Consider the following 11510-nt stretch of genomic DNA (forward strand, 5'->3'; position numbering starts at 1 on the left):
ATCACAAAGCATTTTCACAGAGGCTTGTTTCTAGTTTTTATTGCAGGATATTGGTTTTTCTCTACAGGTCAATATTGTCTTTGAATTGTCCCCTCATAGATTCTACAAACACCGAGCTTCCAAGCCAATGAAGCAAAAGAAAGTTTAACTTTGTAAGATGAATCTACATATTGCAAAGCATTTTTAAAAGATAGCTTGTTTTTAGCTTTTATTGCTGGATATTCAGTTTTTCACTGTAGGCCTCAATTTGCTCTGAAATGTTTTATTGAAGATCTACACAAAGAGTGTTTCCAACCACTGAATCAAAAGAAACGTTTAACTCTGTGAGATTAAATCACACATTGCAAAGCATTTTGAGAGACAGCTTCATATAGATTTATCATGGGATATTTGGTTTTTCACTGTAAGCCTCAATAAGCTTTAAAATGTCTCTTCATAGATTGCACAAAAAAAGAGTTTCCAACCTGCTGAAAAAAAAAGTTTTAACGTTGTGAGATGAATCCACCTATTGCAAAGCGTTTTCACAAATATCATTTTTTCTAGTTTTCATCGTGGAATATTGTTTTTAAGTGTAAGCCTCAGTGGGCTCAAAAATACCCCTCATAGATTCTACAAAAAGAGTTTTTCTAACCTGCTGAATCAAAGCAATAGTTCAACTCTTTGAGTTGAATCCACACATCACAAAGCAATTTCACAGATAGCTTGTTTCCAGTTTTTATCACGAGATATTTGGTTTTTTACTGTAGGCCTCACTAGCTCAGAATTTTTCCCTCTTAGATTCTACTAAAACAGTGTTTCCAAAATGCCATATAAAAATAAAGTTTTAACTCTGTGTGATGAATCTACACATTGCAAACCATTTTCAGACATAGATTATTTCTAGTTTTTATCATGAGATATTCTGTTTTTCACTATAGGCCTCAAAGGTCTCCGAAATGTCCCTTTGCAGATTCTACAAAATGAGGGTTTTCAACCTGCTGAATATAAAGAGAGGTTTAATTCTGTGAGATAAATCCACACATCACAAAACATTTTCACTGATAGTTTTTTTCAAGTTTTTTATCGTGTGATATTTGATTTTTCACTATAGGCCCAATGGGATCCAAAATTTCTCTTTGTAGATTCTATAAAAAAGTATTTTCAACCTGCCAAATCAAAACAAGGTTTTAACTGCATGAGATAGATCTACACATCATAAAGCATTTTCACAAATTGTTTGTTCTAGTTTTTATACGGGGATATTTTGTTTTTTACTATAGGCCACAGAGAGCTCAGAAATGTCTTCTTTTAGATTCTGCAAGAAGAATGTTTTCCACCTGCTGTATATAAATATAGGCTTAACTCTAGGAGAAACATCTGCACATCACAAACATTTTCACAGATAGCTTGTTTCTAGTTTTTATCACGGGATATTTGGTTTCTCACTAGAGGCCTCAATAGGCCCCTAAGTGTCCCTTTGTAGATTCTAAAAAAAAGTTTCCAATTTGCTGCATAAAAACAAAGGTTTAACTCTGTGAGATGTGTGCACACATCATAAAGCATTTTCTCAGAAGGATTATTTTTAGTTTTTTCATGAGATACTCTGTTTTTCATTTGAGGCCACATTGAGATCTGAAAAATCCCTATGTAGATTCTACAAAAAGAGTGTTTCCAGCCTGCAGAATCAAACCAAGGTTTAATTCTGAGAGATCATTCCAAACATCATGAGACACTTTTACAGATAGGTTGTTTCTAGGTTTAATTGTGGGATATTCAGTTTTTTAATATAGGCCTCAAAGGGCTCTGAAATGTCCCTTCATAGATTCTATGAAAAGAGTGTTTCCAACTGGCTGAATCAAAACAAATGTATAACTCTGTGAGAGAAATCCACACATCACAAAGCATTTTCACTGACAGCTTGTTTCAAGTTTTTATTGCAGGATAATCAGTTTTTGACTATAGGCCTCAATGGGCTTTAAAATGTACCTTCATGGTTTCTACAAGAAGAGTGCTTCAAACCTGCTTACTCAAAGCAAAGGTTTAATTCTGTGAGATGAATCCACACATCACAAAGCATTTTCACGTATAGCATGTTTCTAGTATTGATCACTGGATATTTGGTTTGGTTTTTCACTGCAGACCTCAATAGGCTCTCAAATATCCCCCTCATAGATTCTACAAAAAGAAAGTGCTTTCAACCTGCTGAATCAAAACAAAGTTTTAACTTTGTGACATGAAATGACACATCATAAAGAATTTTCACAGATAGCTTGGTTATGGTTTTTATCGTGTGTATTCATTTTTCCACTACAGGCCACAGTGGGCTCCAAAATGTCCACTCAGGCCTACAAAAAGAGAGATTTTTGCCTGCTGAATCAAAACAAGGGTTTAGCTCTGTGAGGTGAATCCACACATCTCAAAGAATTTTCACAAATACCTTGTTTCCAGTTTTCGTCACAGGATGTTGGTTTTTTTCATATGCTTCTTCATGGGATCTGAAATGTCCCTTCATAGATTCTATAAAAAGAATATTTCCAACCAGCTGAATCAAAACAAAAGCTTAACTCTGTGAGTTGAATCCACACATCACAAAGCATTGTCATATATAGCTTGTTTCAAGTTTTTATCTTGAGATATAAGGTTTTTAACTGTAGGGCCCAATGTTCTCTGAATGTGCCTTCTTAGATTCTACAAAAAGAGTGTTTCCGACCTGTTGAATCAAGATAGAGGTTTAACTCTGTGACATGAATTGACACATTGCAAAGCGTTTTCACAGATAGCTTTTTTCTAGTTTTTGTCACTGGATATTCAGTTTTTCACTATTGGCCTTAGTGGATTCCCAAATTTCCTTTCATAGATTCTACAAAAAGAGTGTTTCCAATCTGCTGACAAAACAGAGCTTTAAATCTGTGAGATGTATCCACACATTGCAAAGCATTTTTACAAATAGCTTGTTTCTAGTTTTTATCACAGGATATTTGGTTTTCCACTATAGACCTCAATAGGTTCCCAAATGTCCCCTTGTAGATTGTACAAAAGGAGTGCTTTCCATGTGCTGAATCAAAACAAAGGTTTTACTCCATGAGATGAATCCACACATTGGAAAGCATTTCCACAGATAGCTTGTTTCTCATTTTTATTGTGAAATATTTGGTTTTTCACTGTAGGCCTTAATGTGCACCAAAATATCTTCTCGTAGGTTCTACAAACAGACTGTTCCCAACCTGCTTAATCAAAACAAAGGTTTAACTCCGTGATATGAATTAACACATTCTAAAGCATTTTCACAGATAGCCTGTTTCTAGTTTTTATTTCCACTTTTTTTTCACTATTGGCTTCAATATGCTTTAAAATGTTTCTTCATAGATTCTACAAAAAGAGTTTTCCAAACTGCTGGATTAAAACAAAGGTTTAACTTTGTGAGATAAATTCACACATCACAAAACATTTTTGCAGATAGCTTGTTTCTAGTTTTTATCATGGGATATTTGGTCTTTCACTGTAGGCCTAAATGGGCTTCAAAATGGCCTTTAGTAGATTCTACAAAGAGAGAATTTCCAATCTGCTGAATGAAAAAGAATGTTTAACTCTGTGAGATTAATCCACACAATGCAAAACATTTTCAGAGGTAGCTTGTCTTTAGTTTTTATTGCAGGATATCGGTGTTTCAATGTACTTGTTTATGGGCTCCAAAATGTCCCATTGTATATTCTACAAAAAGAGTGTTTCCAATCTGCTGAATAAAAACAAAGGTTTAACTCTGAGAGATGATTCCACACATCACAGTACCTTTTTACACATAGCCTGTTTCTAGTTTTCATTGCAGGATATTTAGCTTTTCACTATAGGCCTCAATGAGCTTTGTAATGTCCTTTCATATAATCTACAAAAAGAGGATTTCCAGCCTTCTGAATCAAAACAAACATTTAACTCTGTGAGATGGATCCACACATCCCAAAGCATTTTCATAGATAGCTTGTTTCTACTATTTATCAAAGGATATTCGCTTTTTCTATTTACTTCTCCATGGGCTCCAAAATGTCCCTTCATAGATTCCACAAAAAGAGCATTTCCTAAATGCTAAATCAAAACAAAGGTTTACCTCTGTGAGTTGAATCCACACATTTCAAAGCATTATCACAGATAGCTTGTTTCTCATTTTTAATGCGGATATTCAGTTTTTACTATAGGCCTCAATGTGCACCAAAATGTCTTGTTGTAGATTCTGCAGACTGTTTACAACCTGCTTAATCAAAACAAAGTTTTAATTCTGTAATATGAATCCACACATCACAAAGTATTTTGACGGATAGCTTGTTTCTAGTTTTTATCTCCACATATTTTGTTTTTCACTGCAAGCTTCAATGGGCTTTGAAATGTTTCTTTGTAGATTCTACAAAAAGAGATTTTTTTTAACCTACTGAATTAAAACAAAGGTTTAACTCTGTGAGATGAATCCACACATCATGAAGCATTTTCACAGATAGCTTGCTTCTAGTTTTTATCGCAGGATATTTGTTCTTTCACTGTAGGCCTAAATGGGCTCCAAAATGGCCTTTAGTTGATTCTACAGAGAGAGTGTTTCCAACCTGCTGAATCGAAATAAATATTTCACTCTGTGAGATGAATCCACACAATGCAAAGCATTTTCAGAGGTAGCTTGTTTTTAGTTTTTATTGCAGGATATTATATTCAGTGTTTCAATATACTCATTTATGGGTTCTGAAATGTCCCTTCATATATTCCACAAAAAGTGTTTCCAACCTGCTGAATAAAAGCAAATGTTTAACTCTGAGAGATGATTCCACACATCACAATATCTTTTGATCGATAGCCTGCTTCTAGTTTCATCACGGGATATTCAGCTTTTCACCATAGGCCTAAATAAGATTTGTAATGTCTTTTCATAGAATCTACAAATAGAGTTCTTCCAGCCTGCTGAATCAAAACAAACATTTAACTCTTTGAGATGGACCCACAAATCCCAAAGCATTTTCATAGATAGCTTGTTCCTACTGTTTATCAAAGAATATTCACTTTTTCCATTTATTTCTCTATGGGCTCTGAAATGTCCCTTTATAGATTCTACAGAAAGAGTGTTTCCTATTGGCTAAATCAAAACAAAGTTTTACCTCTATGAGTTGAATCCACACATCACAAAGGATTTTCACAGATAATTTGTTTCTCATTTTTGATATGGGATATTCAGTTTTTACTATAGGCCTCAATGTGCACCAAAATGTCCTGTAGATTCTACAAACAGACTGTTTACAACTTGCTTAATCAAAACAAAGTTTTAATTCTGTGATATGAATCCATACATTGCAAAGCATTTTGACAGCTTGTTTCTAGTTTTTATCTCCACATATTTTGTTTTTCACTACAGGCTTCAATAGGCTTTTAAATATTTATTTGTAGATTATACAAAAAGAGTTTTTTTAACCTGCTGACTGAAAAAAAGGTTTAACTCTGTGAGATGAATCCACACAATGCAAAGCATTTTCATAGATAGCTTGTTTTTAGTTTTCATGGCAGGATATTTGGTCTTTTACTGTAGGCCTCAATGGGCTCTGATATGGCCCTTAGCAGATTCTACAAAAAGAGTGTTTCCAACCTGCTGAATCAAAATAAGTGTTTAAGTCTGTAAGATGAATCCACACAACAAAAAGAATTTTTACAGATAGCTTCTTTGTAGTTTTTATTGCAAGATATTCAATGTTTCAATATACTCATCCATGGGCTCCAAAATGTTTCTTGGTATATTCTACAAAAAGAACGTTTCCAACCTGCTGAATAAAAACAAAGATTTAGCTATGAGAGATTATTCCACACATCACAAGACCTTTTGACAGATAGCTTGTTTCTAGTTTTCATCATAGATAGTCAACTTTTCACTACAGGCCTCAATTAACTTTGGAATATCCTTTCATAGAATCTACAAAAAGAGTGTTTCCAGCCTGCAAACAAGGGTTAACCCTGTGAGATGGATCCACACATCCCAAACCATTTTCACAAATAGCTTGTTTCTCCTTTTCATCAAAGGATATTTGCTTTTTCCATATACTTCTCCATGGGCTCTGAAATATCACTTCACAGATTCTACAAAAAGAGTTTCCAACCTGCTGAATCAAAACAAAGGTTTAACTCTGTGAAATGAATCCACACATTTCAAAGCATTTTCACAGATAGCTTTTCTCTATTTTACGTTGCGGGATATTTGATTTTTTGCTATACTCGTCCACGGGCTCCAAAATGTCCTTTTGTAGATACTACAAAAAGAGTCTTTTTAATCTGCTCAATCAAAACAAATGTTTAACTCTGGGAGATGAATCTCTGCATGGCAAAGCATTTTTATAGATAGCTTGTTTCTAGTTTTCCTTGTGGGATATTCAGTTTTTCACTGTAGGCCTCAATGGGTTCTGAAATGTCACTCTGTAGACAAAGGGACAAACAGAGTGATTCCGTCCTGCTGAATCAAAACAAAGGTTTACCTTTTTGTGATGAATCCACACATCGCAAAGCATTTTCACAGTTTCTTTCTAGTTTTTATCGTGGGATATTCAGTGTTTTACTCTTGGCCTTAATGGACTCTGACATGTCCCTTCATAGATTCTATAAAAAGAGTGTTTCCAACCTGCTAAATCAAAACAAATGTTTAACTCTGTGGGAAGTATTGACACATCACAAAGCAATTTCACAGATAGCTTGTTTCTAGTTTTTATTGTGGGATATTTGGTTTTTCACCGTAGACCAAAATTGGCTCCAAAATGTACCCTTGCAGATTCTACAAGAAGAGTGTTTCCAACTGCTGAATCAAGACAAAGGATTAACTCTGTGAGATAAATATACACATGGCAAAGAGTTTTTAGTGATAGGTTGTTTCTAGTTTCTTTAGTGGGATATTCAATTTTTCACTGTAGGCCTCAATGGCCTCTGAAATGTCCCACAGAGATGGTACAAAAAGACTGTTTCCAATGTGCTGAATAAATACAAAGGTTTAACTCTATCAGATGAATCCAAACATCACAAAGCATTTTCACAGGTAGCTTTTTTCTAGTTTTTATTGTGGGATGTTTGGTTTTTCACTATTGGCCCTAATGGGCTCCAAAATATCCTTTCTTAGATTCTACAAAGAGACTGTCTACAACCTGCTTAATTAAAACAAAGATTTAACTCTTTGAGATGAATCCACACATCATAAAACATTTTCAGAGATAGAATTTTTGTTATTTTTATTGCAAAATATTCGGTTTTTTACTATAGGCATCAATGGGTATGAAATGTCCTTTGTATATTCTATTTAAAAAAGTTTTTTTTTAACCTGTTGAATAAATACAAAGGTTTAACTCTGTGAGATGAATCCACATATTGCAAAGCATTTTCAAAGATAGATTGTTTCTACTTTTTATTGCAGGATAATCAGTGTTTCACTATGGGCCTCAATGGGCTTCAAAATATCCCTTTGTAGATTTTACAAAAAGATATTTTCCAATCTGCTGAATCAAGACAAAGGATTCAATCTATGAGATGAATCCACACATTGCAAAAAATTTTTACTTAGAGGCTGTTTCTAGTTTTTATCATGGGATAATGGGTTGTTCATCAACGTGCTGAATCACAAAAAGGTGTAACTCTGTGAGATGGAATCACACATTGCAAATAATTTTCAGACACAGTTATTTGTTATTGCTATAATGGGATGTTCAACTTTTCTCTGTAGGCTTCAACAGGCTTCTAAAACTCTTTTCATAGATTGTACAGAAAGGGTGTATCCAAAGAGCTGAATCAAAACAAAGGTTTAATTCTGTGAGATAAATCCACACATCACAAGGTATTTTCACATATAGCTTGTTTTTAGTTTTTATTGTGTGATGTTCGGTTTGTCAATGGGCTCTGAAATGTTTCTTTGTTGAATCTACGAAAGGAAAGTTTTCAATCTGCTGAATCAGAAAAAAGGTTTAACTCTGTGAAATGAATCCACACAATGTAAAACATTTTCACAGATGGCTTGTTTCTAGTTTTTACCATGGGATATTCGGTTTTTCACTACAGGTCTCAATGACCTCCAAAGTGTCCCTTCTTAGATCCTCCAAAAAAATTGTTTCCAACCTGCTGAATAATAACAAAGGTTTAACTCTGTGAGCTGAATCCACACATGGCAAAGCGTATTCAGAGATATATTTTTTATTGTTTCTATTACAAAATATTGGTTTATTACTATAAGCATCAATGGGTGTGAAATGTCCCTTTGTATACTCTATAAAACAAGTGTTCACAATCTGCTGAGTAAAAGAGAGGTTTAGCTCTGTGAGATGAAATCACACATTGCAAAGCATTTTCAGACATAGTTTCTTTTTAGTTTTTATTGATGAACATTCGTTTTTTCACTATACTTCTCAATGGGTCTATGTACCTTTGTAGACTGTACAAAAAGAGTGTATCCAACTTGCAGAATCACAGCAAAGGTTTAACTCTGTCAGATAAATCCAAATATCACAAAGTGTTCTCACAGATCACTTGCTTCTAGTTTTTATCATGAGATATTCTGTTTTTCACTATAGGCCTCAATGGGCTCTGAAACATGTTTTCCTAGATTCTACAAAAAAAAGTGTTAACAATCTGCTGAATCAGAAGAAAGGTTTAACACTGTGAGATGAATCCGCAGATTGCAAAGCATTTTCACAAAAAGCTTTCTTTTAGTTTTTTTATTGAAAATATTCAGTTTTTCACTATAGGCCTCAATGGGCTTCCAAATAACTTTTCTGAAATTCTACAAAAAAAGTGTTTCCAACCTGCTGAATGAAAACAAAGGTTTAACTCTGTGAGATGAATCCACACATTGCAAAGCATTTTTACAAATAGGGTTTCTAGTTTTTATCGTGGGATAATCAATTTTTCACTATAGGCCTTAATGAACTACGAAAAGGCTCTTCATAGTTTCCACAGTTAAAGTGTTTGCAACCTGTTGAAACAAAACAAAGGTTTAACTCTGTGAGATAGATCCACACATTGCAAAACATTTTCACTGATAGCTTGTTTCTAGTTTCTATCACAGGATACACAGTTTTTCACTATATGCCTCAATGGGCTTAAAAAAGTTCCTTCGCAGATTCTACAGAAAGAGTTTTTCCAACCTACTAAAAAAAAAAAAGTTTAACTCTGTGAGATGAATTCACACATAGCAAAGTGTTTTCACTGATTGCTTGTTTCTACTTTATATCGTGAAATATTTGGTTTTTTAGTATAGGCCTCAATGGGCTCTGAAACTTTCCTTTTCAGATTCTACAAAAAGAGTGTTTTTAACTTATTCAATCTAAAGAAAGTTTTACCTTTGTAAGATGAATCCAAACATCACAAAGCATATTCACAGATAGCAAGCTTTTAGTTTTTATCACAGAATATTTTGTTTTTCACTATATGCCTCAATGGGTTCCACAAAATTTATTAGTAGATTCTACAAAAGGAGTGTTTCCAACCTGATGAATCAAAAAAAAGGTTTAATTCTTTCAGATGAGCCCACAAATCCGAAAGCATTTTCACAGATAGCTTGTTTCTAGTTTTTACCATGGGATATTTGTTATTTCACTATAGGACTGCATGGACTCCGAAATGTCTCCTCGTAGATCCTACAGAAAGAGTGTTTCCAAACTACTGAATTAAAACAAATGTTTAAATGTGTGACATAATTTCACATATCACAAAGCATTTTCACAGACAGCTTGTTTGTAGTTTTTATCACAGGATTTTCAGTTTTTCACTATAGGCCTCAATGTGCTTTGAAATGTCTCTTCTTAGATTCTGCAAAAAACATGCTTCCAACCTGCTGAATCAAAACAAAGGTTTACTCTGTGAGATAAATACACACATTCTAAAGCCTTTTGACAGACAGCTTGCATGAAGTTTTTATCAGGGGATATTATGTTTTTCTCAATGGGTATCAAAGGGCTGCCAAATGTCCCTTCACAGATTCTACAAAAAAAGTCTTAAAAACTGCTGAATCAGAACAAAGATTTAGCTTCATAAGATGAATCCAGAAATCGCAAATCATTTCACTGAAGGCTTGTTTCTAGTTTTTATCACAAGATAATCAGTTTTTTACTATAGGCCTCAATTTGCTCAAAAATGTTCCCTCGTAGATTCTAGAAAGAAAGTGTTTCTGACCTGCTGAATCTCAGGAAAGGCTAACTCTGTGAGATGAGATCAGACATCAGAAAGCATTTTCATACATAGCTTCTTTGTAGTTTTTATCCCAGGATATTCAGTTTTTCACTATATGCCTCAAAAAATTTTGAAATGTTCCCTCATAGACAGTACAAAATTATGAGAGGACATTTCAAATGAGGGGACATTTCAAAAGATTGTACAAATCTATGAGGGGACATTCCAAATGAGGGGACATTTCAAAAGAGTGTATCCAACCTTCTGAATCAAAACAAATGTTTAACTCTATGTAATAAATCCACACATCACAAAGCATTTTCACCATATCCCCCAAAAAGGAAACTCTTGTTCTCCTACTCCTATTGGAGGGCTGCATGATTCCTATAGGATGAAAAGCAGGCAGCCATGGCTGGCTTTTGCCTGGTAATCTAGGCTCTGTTTCATTTCATCTGCACGTCCTTTCTCATAGTGGAGAGGCTCTTTCATTGGGCTGTTGCTGGGTGGGACTGCCTCTCGCCACAGTTCTATTGGCTGCCGGGGATTTCAGGGAGCAAAAGGGACTTCGGGTAGGCAGGCCATGCTCCAGGTTGTGTATTATGATCTCGTTGTGGTGCCTGAGGTTGTTTGCACTTTGCAGGAGACTTTTGGGTCCTCTGACAGGAATCCTTGAACGTTGCTTGGACTCCAGCACAAGTCAGCTCGTTCTCTCATGCAAACCTTGATTTTCCTTTGTTTTCATGGGGGCGGGGGGGGTCAACAGTGCCCCTCAACAGCACTGCTGGACACCCTTTTCATGCTTGCAATCGCCACAGACGGCCTCTGAGACAATGTCTCAACCTCCTCTGCACCCGTGAGAGGCCAGTTCAAGGTGTGAGAACACTGCTACGCCTTGGACTTGCCTTTGCCGTAGTTCCTGCCTTTCCCAGAGAGCCCCTGCGAGGCCCAGGATGAAGGGAGGCAATGAGGTCAAAGGCCCGGCCATCTTTCGCTGACACCCGCCTCTGGGGTCTCAGGTATGAGTTCATCACCCAAAGACCCCTCAACAGGTCACCAGACTATATTCCAATCCCCATGGGACCCGATTCCTGAACGCAGCCTCTTTCGGGAAGGGAGTCAGAAGAGCAGTTTCCAGAGACCAACTCACACTCTCGAAATGCCTCCTTCTCCAGCGGGACCCGACCTTGGAGACGGTCCGAGGGGGCCCTAAGGTCGAGACTTTTAGGGTCCTGCAGTGGATTATCGTAGGCAGCCTTTTTCCTGATACCAGACCAGCTCTGCCTGTACCATTTTCCTCTGTTTAAGCAGGCTAACAGCTCTGACAGCTGGGCGCCCGAGACTGCCTCGCTAAAGCGCATGCGCTAGTCTCAGGG

The 11510-nt window shown here is 35.9% G+C and overlaps 1 long non-coding RNA gene across 1 annotated transcript in view; it reads right to left on the reverse strand.

Moving 5' to 3' along the window:
- Positions 1-11491, reverse strand: part of LINC02002 (long intergenic non-protein coding RNA 2002) — a 32033-nt gene extending 20542 nt beyond the window's left edge. Inside the window, exon 1 of the long non-coding RNA NR_187277.1 lies at positions 11285-11491. This is a non-coding gene — a long non-coding RNA (long intergenic non-protein coding RNA 2002). The remainder of the gene's footprint in view (positions 1-11284) is intronic.
- Positions 11492-11510: the final 19 nt, after the last annotated feature.

Source organism: Homo sapiens, chromosome 17, assembly GCF_000001405.40.
Source record: "Homo sapiens chromosome 17, GRCh38.p14 Primary Assembly".
NCBI classification, from domain to species: domain Eukaryota; kingdom Metazoa; phylum Chordata; class Mammalia; order Primates; family Hominidae; genus Homo; species Homo sapiens.